The sequence below is a fragment of the Homo sapiens genome, chromosome 1 (assembly GCF_000001405.40).
Source record: "Homo sapiens chromosome 1, GRCh38.p14 Primary Assembly".
Lineage (NCBI taxonomy): Eukaryota > Metazoa > Chordata > Mammalia > Primates > Hominidae > Homo > Homo sapiens.
In genome coordinates, this window is record NC_000001.11 from 20,413,641 (window position 1) to 20,429,372 (window position 15,732).

At 44.1% G+C, this 15,732-nt stretch overlaps 1 long non-coding RNA gene across 1 annotated transcript in view; it reads right to left on the reverse strand.

Moving 5' to 3' along the window:
* The window catches only part of LINC01141 (long intergenic non-protein coding RNA 1141), a 68,994-nt gene extending 53,840 nt beyond the window's left edge, over positions 1 to 15,154 (reverse strand). The window contains exon 1 of the long non-coding RNA NR_033887.1: positions 14,944 to 15,154. This is a non-coding gene — a long non-coding RNA (long intergenic non-protein coding RNA 1141). The remainder of the gene's footprint in view (positions 1 to 14,943) is intronic.
* Between the last annotated feature and the right edge of the window lie 578 nt (positions 15,155 to 15,732).

Here is a 15,732-nt window from a genome sequence, read left to right on the forward strand (position 1 = left end):
CTCCTGTGTCCCCAGCCTCTCTCTGATGCAGCCGCCCTGGCCGGGGTCACAGCTCACACCATGACACGGGGCCTCCTGCACAGCCATCTTGAGGCATCTGACCCAGGAATCAAAGACCCAGAAGGGATTCTGGGGAAAGAGGGAAACGTGAGAAGTGCCTGAGAGGTCATGGAGTCCATCCCCCTGTCCCTGGCATGATCTGAACTTGCTAACCTCTTCCACATAAGAGCGCAGGCCCCAACCCAGGAGAAGGCAGCTCAGGCTAAGGCCAGAGAAGGGGCCAGAGGGGTGAACAGGGAGAAGACAGACAGTCCGGGTCCATGGCCCAGCTCTGCCACTGGCCAGCTCTACAATATTGGCAATTCACTGTACCTCTGTGAGCCTCAGTTGCCTCTGCTGCAAAAGAAGAAATGCCCATGGTGAGGATGAAATGAGGTATTTTGGTGTAAAGCTCCTGGCATGTAGAGGGCACCAACAAGTATTGGTTTTAGAGGCATCTGGAGCCCCAGTTTTCTATGTGACCTCCACTGAGGTGGGAGAAAGTTTTTAACTCCCCCCGATACTCCACCAGACTCACCACAGTTTCCCCAGAGTCTCTGATCAGGGCAAACTATTTGTGTCTAATTACATTAAATTGCATAATATTTTCACCGCTTTCCCAAGAGACTTACCTGATTTCTCTCTGTTCATTTCTGTGTGTGTGTGCATGTGTGTGTGTGTATGTGTGTGTGTGCATGCATAGACACATTTTGTTAAATGGATGTTCCTAAGGCCAAGGTTACACTCCTCCTGTCTGTGCTGCCCTCAAGAAAGAATCTATGGGGATTGCCAAGCAACCTAAGGAAATGAGATGGTTTGTAGATTTCTTTAGAGGAAGTCATGTCATGCTGGCCCTTTTCAGTGGTTTTTCCAATAAACATCTTTTGAGCACTTCATGTGTGCAAGGCAATGTATTTATTAATATATTTTGTTCACAAAAGTGAACAAGAGCCCCTCTTTCTTTCCTGTTGGAGCCTACATGTCAGGGCTCTGGGACTGGATGATTAAGAAGACCTGTAATCTGTCAAATGACCCAGTTCAAAAGGTGCTGATAAATGAACCCATGTCAGCCTGAGGAGGTCTCTGACAGCATGCCGTGGGATTCTGTCTTTGGGATTTCTCATCAAGTACACAACAGTTGAGGAATCCTGGAGACAAGCAAGTTCAGGGCATTCGTGCACAAATGTTACAGGACACCTGCTCTGTGCCAGGCACTGGGGACACAGCTGTGAACAAGACAAACCAAAATCTCTGTCCTCATGGGGCTTACATTCTAGTTAAGAAAGACAGACAGTCAATCAAGAAATAAGTTAAGTAAAGAAAATGTCCAGAGGCTGGTAAGTGCTATGGAAAAAATAAGTGGTTGGGAGTACTAGAGAGTACTAGGAGACAAGGGTTAAGATTTTAAAGAAAATGATCAAGGAAGGCTTTGCTGAGAAGACAACATTTCAGTAAAGGCCCAAGGGAGGAGAAACAAACCATTCAAACCACCTGGATGATACAGAACATTCTGAACAAAGGGGAAGCAGGTACAAAGGCCCTGGGGCAGCAATGCACCTGGCATGTATGCATGTATGTAAACAGCATCTTTTTACATGCAGGTATCTTAGTGGCCTGATTGATCTGAAAGAAATAAACAGAGAGAAATCAGGTGATGCCCTCGGGGAAAGCAGTAAAAATATAATGCAATTTAATGTAATTAGACACAAATTGTTGGCTCCGATCAGCCAGTGTGGCTGCAGCAGAGTGACCAAGGAGAGATGGGCAGGAAATGAGGTCAGAGGGGAGACAAAGAGGGGACCATTGCAGGAATCCAGGTGGACAATGAGAGTGCTTAGCCCAGGGCAGACATACAGTATAGTGGTTAAACATGGGCCCTACAGCCAGGTTGCCTGGGATCAAGATTCACCACCTATATCAACTTGGACAAGTGACTTTGACTTTTCATTCCTCAGTTTCCGCAACTGTGAAATGGACATGGTAAGAGTATCTTCCTCCCAAGGTGGTTGTCAGGGTTAAATGAGCTAAGGCCTATAATACGATTTGGTGCATGTTAAGTACTTAAATATTAGAACTTTAACTTTACAGTGGAGAGAACTGGCAAACACCACCTTCACCAAGCAGTCAAGGTTGACATCACCAGTGATGTCGTGTGATATCGTGCACTTCCAATACCATATGAGATGGCACTTTACCCCTTTGACGTGCTTTCCAACAGCCCATAAGCCCAATCTAGTTAGGAGAAAACATCAGACATCCCCAAACTGAGGGACATTCTACAAAACACCTGGCCCAATACTCCTCAAAACTGTCAAGGTCATGAAAACCAAGGAAAGACTGAAAAACTGTCACAGATTAGGAGACACTAAGGAGACGTGAAGACTAAATGTGATGTGGGATCCTGGGTTGGATCTTGGAGCAGAAAACATTAGTGGAAAACTGGAAAAATCCAAATAATGGAATTTAGTTAATGGTGATGTACCAATGTTGGTTTCTTAGTCTGAACAAATGTACTGTGGTCATGTACGATGTTAACAATAGGGGAAACTTGGTGGCAGGGATGAGGATGGGAGGTTCGTGTGTATTAAACTCCCCCAAGGCCCAAAATGGTATCTTTATATTATTCATTCAACAAATATGTAAATTCCACTCAATCTACAGGATCCCAAGGGGAGAAACAAGAACCAAGCAAGAAAGCAAGGACTGGAAAGGAGGAGGAGTTTTCTTTTTTTCTTTTTCTGAGATGGAGTCTCACTCTGTCACCCGGGCTGGAATGCAGTGGTGTGATCTCGGCTCACTGCAAGCTCCGCCTCCTGGGTTCAAGCCATTCTCCTGCCTCAGCCTCCCAAGTAGCTGGAACTACAGGCGCCTGCCACCACACCCAGCTAATTTTTATATTTTCAGTAGAGACAGGGTTTCACCACGTTTGTCAGACTGGTCTCAAATTCCCAACCTCAAGTGGGAGGTTCGGCCTCCCAAAGTGCTGGGATTACAGGCTTGAGCCACTGTGCCCAGCGAGGAGGAGTTTTCTAATAATGTTATCTATCCCTGAAAATGATGACTTCTCCACTACAGGAAGGGCTCAAACAGGAGCCAGAAGAACACTTTGCCGTGGAGACCAGACTCTAGCGTTCCAAAAAGAAGGCTGCAAAAAAGCCTCGGCATTCTAGTCTCCACCTTCTCATCTGAATTTCCAGTAGGTCTCCAAGCCTGAGCCCAACCACCACTGGCTTGGCCCAGCTCACACTCTCCCTTCCTGCCCCTGACAAAAGCTGCAGCTGGCAGAAGTGAGCTGTTCAAATCTTTTACTGTTGACACAACCACACATCACCACAGGTCATCACTGTCAGTCATTCAGCAAACCCTCACTCAACATGGCAGAGGGTCACAGAGTTCAGAACACAAGCCTTAGAGAGGCCACCTCTCAGCTGTGCCACCTCTAACTATGTGACCGTGACCGGAGCCCTTTACCTCTCTCAGCCTGCTTCTTCATTCAAAAACAGGGATAATAATAGAACCTACCTCAGGGTTGATGTAAGTGCTCACTAAAAGATAACTATTAATATTATCATTATACTTATGCAGCAGGCACTATGCTGGATGCAAGCAGGGCACAAAGTTGAATAAATCTAACTCTAACGTCCTCTTGGAGGGAAGTCAGGTATTGAACAATTAATTACAATGCAGGAGATAAGTACTATCGGGGTATCTATCAGAGCACCCACTCCAGGCCTCCAGCCCCAAATCTCAAGACCTCAAGGAAGGAACTGAGGGGGCTCCTCCCACCTTGACTTTAGCTGGAGCTGACAATCTGCCAAAGAGGACTGGCATTGGAAATCAATGCGCCTTGATTACAGAAAACTCTTTCTGACTTTCTAAAGACACACCAAACAGACAGACTTCCCCTAAATCCTCAGAGCAGAGCCCCGATCAGCCCTCCTCTTCCCCAGACAGCCCTGCCCCATCACCCCGCCAGCCCTTGCCTTCTGCCGTATCTCTTTCCTGCAGGTACCCCAGGCGCTGCTCTTCACTTGATGCCTACTGCCCCGTGTTTGCACCAAGGAGGCCTCAGTTGCCCCAGTGATGACTGTCCCCAGCTTGGCCAGCAGGCAAGGACACGATGTGTCAAGGCCAGGCTGTTTAGAGGCCAACACTGAGCGCAGATAGGCCAGTCCCTTAATGGCAGAGGACTAAGCTGGTGGACCAGGAACTCATTATCCAGCTGCCCAGGGCAATAGAAGGAAGTCAAACGGAAGCACCCACTGCTGGGGGAGCACAGAGGGAGTGGGCCAGGGCTGGGGAGGCCTGGCTCAGGGTCACAGCCATTTTTGTTGCATGCCTACTCTGCACCGGGCACTGTGCAAATGGTCACACCCATTAACTCATTGTGTCCTCATGGAAAGGGGGACTGTTTTTCTCTCCATTATTTAGATAAGCAGATTGAGACCCACAGCATGGAGGAGCTTCTGCAGGTCCCGCAGCTGGTGGATGGCAGAGCTTGATTCCCCATTCAAGCCCACACACAAGCCACTCCCCTGGCCTGTAACATCTGCTCCTCTAGGGCCTCCCGGGCTGCAGGCCTTGCATGGGCTCTTGGGACACTGAGCTGAACAAGATACAGTCCCTGTCCTGGAAAAGTTCACAGTTAAAGGTGGACAGAGAGCAGCGGCCATTTGCAAGAAACCTGATGGAAACCTGATTGATAGAAGTGTCCCTGATGGAAGGACACTCACGACTCTGACACAGCATGCAAGCAGCAGCTGACTGTGCCCTGGTCCTGGGGAACTGCCCTGAGGTGCATCCTGGAGCTGGACCTTGCAGGACTTTCTCAAGGGACTGCTCTTCCAGCAAGGGGAACCTTAGGAGCAAGGGCCACCTGAGTCCAGGTTCTGTTCTAACTTCTGACCCCAAGTCAGGGAACTGGGTCTTATTCCTTGGGCCTTGGAAAGGTCCTTCTTTTAGCATCCTGGGCAGCAGCCAGGGCTTTGGAGTCAGAGAAGCCAAGGCCAAATCCCCCCTCTCCCACTTTCTAGCTGTGCAATCTTAATCCTCAAGACAACAATAATAATGCATGGATGGAAACATGGATTAATTAATTAATTAAGGGGAGGGCTGGTAGATCCAGAGCTCCTGGCTGCAACCAGGTCAGTTCCAGAACCTGGACCAAGGTCAAGCAATCATTCATTCATGCCTGCAGGCAACACATATTTGTTGAGCACCTACTATGTGCGTGCCAAGCACTATTCTAGGTGCTGAGGATACCACAGAGAACAAAATATATGTCTAATGCCCATAGTTGCTACAGAGAAAAATGAACTAGGATAAGGAAGGTAGGGGGGCCCCAGAGTGAGGAAGGCTTTACTTTTAGATGGAAGGGTCAAGGATGCATCACAAGTGTCCTGAAGGAGACGAGGAATTGAGCCCCAAAGATACCTGGAGGAAGAGTGTCCCATTTAAAGAGGAGAGTGGGGAATCTTGCCTGTGTGCAATGAGGTGGCCAGAAGGCCAGTGTGTCTGGGAAGGTGGTAGAGCTGGATCACACAGGCCTTGGTCTTCACTGGGATTTGGACTCTCATTCAGAGTAAAACGGGAGCCACAGGGGAGCTTTAGGAAGAGGAGTGACAGAGTATGACAGATAGAACATGCTGCTGTGCTAAATACAAAGAGAGAAAGAGGGAGGTCAGTGAGTGAGGAGGCTATTGCGACGTCCAGGTGAGAGACAGTGGAGGCTTGGTCCTGAGTGGTCACAGTGGAAGTGGTGAATTCTGAATAGATTTTGAAGGTAGAGCTCACTACATTTGCTGAGCGATTGAATGTGAGGTATAAAAGAAAGAGAAGAGTCAAGGATGGCACCAGAGTTTTGACCTGAGCAACTGGAAGCATGGAGCTGCCATGCTGGGATGGGGAAGTCAGTGAGAAGAGAGGACGTCCACATAAAGATGGCAGCTTGGACACGCACAGCCACTGCAATGCTAAAGTCATCCCTTGGGTGCTCCAATAACAGTGATGAGATTTCTTTAAATGTCTGAGGGAATGAACCCACAGGATGGGAGAACAGGAGAGGGGACAATAACAATGAAATTTCAGGAGCTGGAAAATAAACGAATGATTGAGAAAAATGCATCAGAAAAAAAAAGTCCCCCAAAGGCTCAGGGTTTGGCAGCACCAGTTACCTCTGGAAGCTGAGGTGAAGGAGAAGTTACAACAAAGAGGAGCCTTTGAAAGGCTGTTTCAGAAGCTGTCATTGTCCCAGACTAGACACCTCTAGACTGGGGGACACCGGGCTCAGTGCATGCAGTGGCACTCTATTGATGACACAGAGTTTCCATGAAAATGAGCAGTCTGGATGCCAAGACCCCAACCATGACAAACCACTCTGCTCTTGGGACACTGACAGCCAGACTTATACCCTCCAGACAGACAATTGGAAGAGTCTTCTCTGGGGAGCATGATGGACCAAGGAGAAAATATTATACCTAGAGAAACCCTAGAGATATCAACATGGAAGTTTCTCCAATTAAACAGCCCAGTCACACCATCCTACAAGGAAGCCCACAGCCCACAAGACCCACTCATGTACTCAGAGCTTCTAATCAGCTTATGCTTTCCTATTTTAAAATACATGCAAGATAACTGAGGTTTACTAGACATCAGAAGAAAGCCTCTAATCTGAAAGATAAAGAACAAAACACAGAGAAAACACCAACTTGAGGATAACAGAGAATAGCAAGGAGAGGGGGGAGAAAACCTCCTTAATATCATCAGAGAGACAACAAAAGACATGCATGAAATTGAAATAGGATTCTCATAAAAAAATAGGAAGAGAACAAAATAAAAGAGCTTTTAAAAATGAAAATACAATGGCAGAAATTAAAAAGGGAAAGTTGGAAGACAGGGTTGAGCTCTTCTAGAGTGACAGATGCAGAAAATGGAAGAGAAGTGTTTTTAAATTAGGATTTGTCCAGGAGTTTCATCTTCTAAAAAGAATTTTTAAAAAGTAGAGTGGAGGGAATCATCAATAAAATCATTCAAGAAAATTTCACAGACCCAACGAACAGCTTTCTAGATTTCAAGAACTCACAGAGGGCCCAGCACAGTAAGTGAAAACAGACACATTATTGTCTATTTTCATTATTAAATAGACACACCAAGGCATATTATTGTGAATTGTCACTACCCTGGAAACTAAGAGAAGATTCTCTACTTCCACATTTAAAAGATTAGGAATACAGAACAGCTTCCTTCTGAAGGCAATACTGATAGCCAGAAGGTAATAGAGTAAAGCCTTCAAATTCTGATGGAAAATAATTTCCAGGCGAGAATTCTATACCTAGCCTAAAAGCCAATCAAGGATAGGGATAGAAGAAAGACATTTTCAGATGTGCAAAGTCTCAAAAAACCAACATTCCACGTATCTTTTCGCAGGAAGTACTGGAGGATATGCTCCACCAAAACAAGGGAATAAAACAAGAAAGAGGAAAATATGAGATACTGGAAACTGAACATCCAACACAAAAGAGAGACGGAGGAACCCTCCAGGTTGACAGTAAAGAGAGAGCCTAGGATGACACCTGTGTGCTAGGTGTAAAAAGCAACCAGTCCAGCCTTAAGCAGGTCACAAGGCTCTGGAAGATTTCATCAGGAGGATGAAATTGATAAAAAACCTGATGCATCTAATTGTCTTGAGAGAAAATGTACACTATTGGTCAGGAGTTTGGCATACTTAATTTGTTACAAGTACAAGCAAACAAATATATCTTTTTAAAAAGGCAACTAGTAACTCCAGGGAAAACAAAAACTTGCACAGAGAAAAAAAAAGAAATCATAGCATTACTGGGAGGATAGGAGAATGGAGAGAGCAAGTTAAGGACTGGGAAGGAGAGCAAAGAGAGCTAAATCATCATCTTCCCCAGTGCAAAGTCAAACAGCTAGAGTTCCGCTTCTGTCATGGAAATGTGAGGCTCTCTGCAGATTTGTTCCCTTGTGAAACTGCTGGAAATTATTTTTAAAACACTATTTAAAGCCCCTGGAAATGGTCCTAAGAGCATACAGCAAATAAAGAAATGTTTGTTCAGGAAAACGTATGAAAACTCCATAAGAATAGCAAGAGTCTGTGACATTTGAACCATGATCCACTCTCTCCCTCTCTCATCCCATCACAGCACTATAAAAACTCCACTGCAGATAGGTGCAGCCCATAACACGGGGCTCCTTCTCCCCTTAACTCCAAGTTGGAAGCCTACAGTATCTTCTCAGGAAGAACAGGACATAAGCATTTCTCATCCTGTCCAAGCTTACTGTTGCAGATGCTAAGTTTTAGGTGAGTATAGCTGAGAGATAGGGGATCCCTTCTTCTTCCCAGCCCTCACCAGTGAGATGGCCACTCTAACTTGGGTGTGGCAAGCTGACAAATCCTAGGTCCCCAACTACTCTCACCCTGGCTCATTCATAAAGCAGAGGTTCCACACCAGGAGAGGCAAGCTGAGAAGACCAGAGGTTACAGCCAGCCCCCACTTCAGCAAGCACCCAACTCCTAAAGTAAGGGTCTTACTGAGAGAAAAGCATGCCACTGTCCCCATCCCTAGCTCCAGATATTTCACCCATGGGGAGAGACAGACCATGAAACAGAGAGTTCTGAAGCTTGTCTAAAAGAACTGACTTCATTTGCAACAGCATGTGGGGAAGTTAAAGTCTAAGGGCACTCTCAAAAACAATAGAGGTTGTGGTGAAAACAATTCAGAGGAGACTGGTAGATCCATCCATTTGAGATATAAGCTAGACCACTGACTAGTTTGCCAGAAAGAACTAGAGAATGAGAGAGCTAACAAGAGCCCTCCTGGGGTCAGAGCAGATCTCAAACAATGACCTCAAAAACTACACCTGCAAAGGAGGTCAGAATTGCTACAATATATTATTTTAAGTGTCCAATTTCCAATGAATAAATTATGAGGCATGCATAGAAGCAAGAAAGTTTGACACACATGAAAAAAAATTAGGCAACAGAAGCTGCCTGTGAGGATGACCATATGTCAGATGTAATAGAGAAAGAATTCAAAGTAGTCATTATAAATATTTTCAAAGAGCTGAAGAAAACCATGCTTAAAGAAGTAAAGGAAGGTATGGTAATAATGCCTCATCAAATAAAGAATACAAATAAAGGGACGAAAATTATTTTTCTGAAATGGAAATTCTGGAGCTGAAAAGTACAATAACTGTAATGAAAAATTCACTGAAAGGGCTCGACAGTAGATTTGAACTGGCAAAATAAAAATTAGCAAACTTGAAGGTAGATTGACAGAGATTATGTAATCTAAAGAACAGAAACAGAAGAAAAGAATGAAAAAAATGGGCAGAGTCTCAAAGAAGTGTGGAACATCATTAAGTGCATCAACATATGCATAATGGGAGTGCCAGAAAGAGAAGAGACAAAGAAAAGCACGAGGAAAGGTTCAAAGAAATAATGTCAAAAAAACTTTGTGACTTGATTTTTTAAAACTTTAATGTACAGATTTATAAAACTCAAAAAAGCTCCAAGTAGAATTAATGCAAAGTAGTAAAAATGCTGAAAACTAAAAAGAAGAAAAGAATCTCAAAAGCGGCAAGAGAAAAAAAAAAAAAAAAAACAAGAATCATCACTTGCAAGGGAGCCAAATAAGATTAACAGCTGACTTCTTATTAGAAACAGTGGAGGCCAGAGGCAGTGGGATAACATATTCAAAGTACTTAAAGATAACTCCCAACCAAGAATACTATATCCTTAAAAACTTCTCACCAAAAGGAAGGAGAAATAAAGACATTCCCAGTATTAATCTCATACCAAATCCAGACAAACATATCACAAAAAACTATATATCTTATGAATATAGATGCAAAATCCTCAACAAAATGCTAGCAAACCAAATCTAGCAACATATTCAAAGAATTATATACCATGACCAAGTGGGATTTATCCCGGGAATGCAAATTTGGTTTAACATGTGAAAATAAATTGATGTAATATGCCATATCGATAGATTTTTTAAATTACATTATTATCTCAATAAACACAGAAAAAGAATTTGACAGAATCCAACACTCTTTAGTGCTAAAAACACTCAACAAATTAGGAGTATTAGGGAACCTCCTCAACCTAATAATGGGCATCTATGAAAAACCCACAGCTAACATACTCAGTGGTGAAATACTGGATGCTTTTCCCCTAAGATCAGGGACAAGACAAGACTATCCATGCTCACCACGAGCCAGGGAACTTAGGCAAGAAAAAGAAAGGAAGAAGTAAGATATAGTTATCAAAGAATGACATGATCATGTACATAGAAAATCCTAAGGGATCAGAATCCATTAAAACCTATTAAAACTAATGAACAAGTTCAGCAAGAGTAAACGAAAAAGATAATATACAAAAATCAATTGTATTTCTTTACATTTGCAGTAAACAATTTGAAAATGAAATTAAGAAAACAGTTCCACTGGCATTAGCACCAAAAAGAATAAAACATTTAGGAAAAGGTTAACTAAAGAAGTATGAAACTTATACTTTAAAAAGCGCAAAATGTTGTTGAAAAAAATTAAATAAGACCTAAATAGACCAGGCACAGTGGTACACACCTGTAATCCCAGCACTTTGGGAGGCAAAGGCAGGTGGAACACTTGAGCCCAGGAGTACAAGACCAGCCTGGGAAACATGGTGAAACCACATCTCTACGTAAAAAATACAAAAATGTAGCCAACATAGTGGTGCATGCCTGTAGTCTCTGTTACTCTGGAAGCTGAGGTAGGAGAATCACTTGAACCTGGGAAGTCAAGGCTGCAGTGAGCTGTGATTGCACCACTGCACTCCAGCCTGGACAACAAAGTGAGACCCTGTCTCAAAAAAAGAGGACCTAAATAAGTCAAAAGATGTCCTATGTTCATGGATTACCAAACTCATATTGTTGATATAAGCATACTCCCCACACTGACCTATAGATTCAATGCAATGCCTATCAATGCAATCCCAATGGCATTTTTTGTAGAAATGAAAATTCCAATCCCAAAATTTATATATAATTGCAAGGAACACCAAATAGTCAAAACAATCTTGAAAAAGAAAAACAAAATTTGAGGAATCACATTTCCCAATTTTAAAACTTAATACAAAGCTATAAAAGTCAAAACAGTGTAGTACTGGCATAAGGACAGACACATAGGTCAATGGAATAGAATTAAGGGTCCAGAAATAAAGCCATACAGCTATGGTCATTTGATTTTTGACAAGGATGCCAAGACCATTCAATGGAGAAAGAATAGTCTCATCAATAAATGATGCTGGGGAACTGGATAGCCTCATGAAAAAGAATCACGTTTGACCCTTAACTTACACCATACACAAAAAGTTAACTCAAAATGGATCAAAGATCTAAATGTAAGAGCCAAAATTATAAAGCTCTTAGAAGAAAACAGAGCGATAAATCTTCATGACCTTGGATTTGGCCATGGGTTCTTGTATGTGACACCAAAAGCACAAGCAACAAAAGAAAAAAATAGATAAGTTGAACTTCATCAAAATTTAAAACTTTTGTGCTTCCAAAGATACAATTGAGATAGTGAAAAGAAAACCCACAAAATAGGAGAAAATGTTTGCAAATCATATGTCTGACAGGGGACTTGTATATAGAAGGAACTCTTACAAGTCATAATAAAAAGCCAAGTAATCCAAATTAAAAATGGGCAAAGGACCTGGATAGACATTTCTCCAAAGAAGATGTACCTATGGCTAAAAATACATGAAAATATAATCAGCATCATTAGCCATCAAATCAAAACCACATTAGATACCATTTCACACTCACTAGGATGGCTATAATCGAAAAGTCAGAATAACTTCACTGTTGGTAAGGATGTGGAGAAACTGGAACCCTCATATATTGCTGGTGGGAATGGAAAATGGTGCAACCATTGTAGAAAATGCCTGGCAGTTCCTCAAAAGGTTAAACATAAAGTTACTCCATAACCCAGCATACCCAAGAGAAATAAAAGCATATGTCCACACAAAAACTTGCACACAAATGTTCACAGCAGCATCATTCACACTAACCAAAAGGTAGAAACAACCCAAACGTCCATCAACTGATGAATGGATAAACAAATGGTGGTATATCCAGACAATGGAATATTATTCAGCCATGAAAATGAATAAAGAACTAATATGTACTATAACTTAGATAAACCTTGAGAAAACTGTGCTAAGTGAAAGCAGCCAGTCACAAAAGACCATGTACTATATGATCTGTTTACATTCAATGTCCAGAATAGGCAAGTCTATCGAGACAGAAAGTAGATTAGCAGGTGCCAAGGGATGGGGACAAAGGCAGGAGATAATAGCTGAAGGGCACAGGCTTTCTTTTTGAGGTGATGAAAATGCTCTAAAATTGATGTAGTGATGGTTAAATAACTCTGTGGATATACTAACACCCACTGAATTGTACCTGTTAAATGGGTGAATTGTATGATATGTGAATTATATCTCAATAAAGCTGACACAAAATAAGTTAATTAACTAACCAAAAAAAAAGAAAATTCAAGAAGCAGTGAAACAAGCATGTCATTTAGAAACATGAATACAAATGTCAAAATAATCAGCTAAAAGAAGTCAAAGTGGTTTCCTCTCTGGGGTGGGGGAAATGAGAGTGAGTTAATTTTATAATAAACCTCGTAGAACTGTGTTATTATTTAAACCGTGTGTGTATGCCTTTTTGATAAAGATTAAAACTTTTGGATTTATAAATAAAACCTTTAGTCTTAGGTTCTGAGCCACCCCATTGCAGAGCTTGGAGGCTGTAAGGAGGGTAGCTGGCCAGGTACCTTAAATTTGCTCTTGCAGAACTGAAAGCTTATACATTTGGCCGAGGGCCAGCCAGGTTCTGGCCCCAAAGAGAGGGAACAGGTGGGGCTATGGGGTTATTCCAAGGCTGTAGATCTTGCCTGATCCTACCCACTGCCTTGAAAATCTGGGCCTCTGCTTAAAGGAGAATTATTCAGAGTACACAGTGGTCTAGAGGAAACAGGCCCACTGCTGGGGAAACTGTCAACTGATCTAAAATCCGCTGGCCTACAATGAACACCTACTGTGTACCAGGCACCTCCACAGACATCCTCTTGTAATCATCTCAAGGACCCTGGGAGGCAGGTGTATTGATCCCCGTGCTACAGATGAGGAAACTGAGGCTCAGGGAGGTTTAGCAGCTTGCCTGGAGCCACAAAGCTAAAAAGATCCAGGTTAAGATCCCAAGTCTGGCCATCCCCCAGTCCAGCACTCTATTCACTACAGAGCTTTCCAGTGCAGAGGAGGCAGGGAAGGGACTTGAGAAAGGGGAGCCCCTTCTCTGAGCAATAGAAACCATGTTTGAGCTCAGCTCATTCCAGGATGTGAGTCATAGTGAGAAGCCCAAGTTAATCACGAGACAATGAAGGCTCTAACTTGGAGAAATGACTCCACAGGCTCCATGGGAGCTGCAAGCAGTGGCTCAAAACAGGCAGGTCCAGCCCCACAGCGTTCCACATCACTAGAGGATATCGTCCGTCACTGCTCCTCTGCTTTTGGGGCCATTCAGATGTAGAACCAGACTTCAAGACTACCCTTGGACCTCTGATGCCAGTTAGGGCCACCCCACACCAAACTCCAGGTGAGAGTCAGCAGTGACTTTTTAATCTGGAAGGGACCTTAGCCACCATCTAGTCCACTATTCTTATCGCACAGATGGGAGATGAAAACCTCAAACAGAAAAGAGTTGCTCGGGGTCACACAGCGAGCGAATTCGCCACCAAGCCAGCTCTCCAGCCAAAGCGTTCTGCATGCCGCCTTCCCTGCCTCTTCCTCCTGTTAGTGCCAGTGCCCTCCTGCTTCTCACTGCCACACCCCCAACCTGGACGCCCCCTGTTCTCTTCGTAGTCACACATGTCGCGTCATTACTTTCTCCTTATACACCCAAGCCCAGCACCAGGAAAACTACAAATTAGCACTAAAGAGTGACCGCTGGTGGCTCATGCCTGTAATCCCAGCACTTTGGGAGGTTGAGGCGGGTGGATCACTTGAGGTCAGTAGCTTGAGACCAGCCTGGCCAACATGGTGAAACCCCGTCTCTACTAAAAATACAAAAAATTAGCCGGGCGTGGTGGCACACCCCTGTAATCCCAGCTACTCAAGAGGTTGTGGCAGGAGAATCGCTTGAACCTGGAAGGTAGAGGTTGCAGTGAGCCGAGATCACACCACTGCACTCCACCCTGGGCGACAGAGTGAGAGTCTGTCTCAAAAAAAAAAAAAAAAATTAGCCAAGCGCAGTGGTGGGCACCTGTGATCCCAGCTACTCAGGGGGGCTGAGGCAGGAGAATCGCTTGAACCCAGAAGGTGGAGGTTGCAGTGAGCTGAGATCACGCCACTGCACTCCAGCCTGGGCAACAGAGCAAGACTCCGTCTCAAAAAAAAAAGAGTGACTGCTGGGCCCTCACTTCCCCAGAATCTTTATATTTTAAAAGAATCTTAGAATATCTCTTCCTCTCCCTCTCCCACTCTCTTTCCACAACACACAGGTACCTCAACGACCCCTGGGAAAGGCAATCATGGGTTCACATATATCATTAGGTTTGGATTCAGATAGGCAGACTTGGGGTCTATCTAATTCTAGGTCTGACATTTAGTAACTACATGACCTTGGGACAGTCACTCAACTTTTCTGAACCTCAGTTTTTTCATCTGTAAAGTGGGGACAAGAATACTCCCCTTCCAGGCTGGGCCCAGTGGCTCACACCTATAATCCCAGCACTTTGGGAGGCTGAGATGGGAATTTGAGATCAGCCTGGCCAACACAGCAAGACCCTGTCTCTATAAAAATAAAGAAAAATAAATATATATTTTAAAATACTCACCTTTCAAAGACACGGCAAGGATGAAGGGAAGTTGATGGCTGTGGAGTCCTTTACACAGTACCCAGAGCAGAGTGAACCCCAGAAATGCTGAGGTAGACAGAGAGAAGGAGGGAGGAAGGGAGACCTACAGGCTTTTCTTTTTTCTACAACAGTCGTAATTATTTCATGCACGAATCTTGTCTCTCCACTAGAGCTCCCTGAGGCTGAAAACACAACTTCTGCTTCTGAACCCCTACCCCACCCAGCACAGGGTTTACATCATAGTGGGGACCCCAAAATCCTTTGTCTCCCTGCTTATTACAGAAAGACCAGCTTGATAGGGAAACCCACAGACCTGGATTGTGGCACCGGCAAACCTCCTCTCTGGCAAGGAGTTCAGAGCGGCTTTTCACAGGGTCCCTGGGAGGCAGTCAGGACCAGCTCCCCCTCATTTCACAGATGGGCAGACTGAGGGCCACGGCCTAGGCAGCAGTGCCAAAGACCCAGAGTCCTGACCATCAGCCCTCCCCCACCACCAGTGCTGCGAGGCCAGCTCAGCCTCCGGGTCCACTTAGGTCCTCCTCCTGTCCACATTCGAGCCCTGTGTTGTGATGGCACTGCTGGGATGCTCTCTTGATGCCTGCTTTATTTTTAGATGCTCTAAGACTGTTGGGGAAGAAGAAGAGACCCACTTTCCTGTTCAGAAACATTGTCATCACTTTGAAAACGCCTCCTCCGTCTGTCACAAAAAGGCAGCTGGGCCTTCCACTTTGCAGTGCCACAGCTCCAGAGCCATACACGCTCCCATAT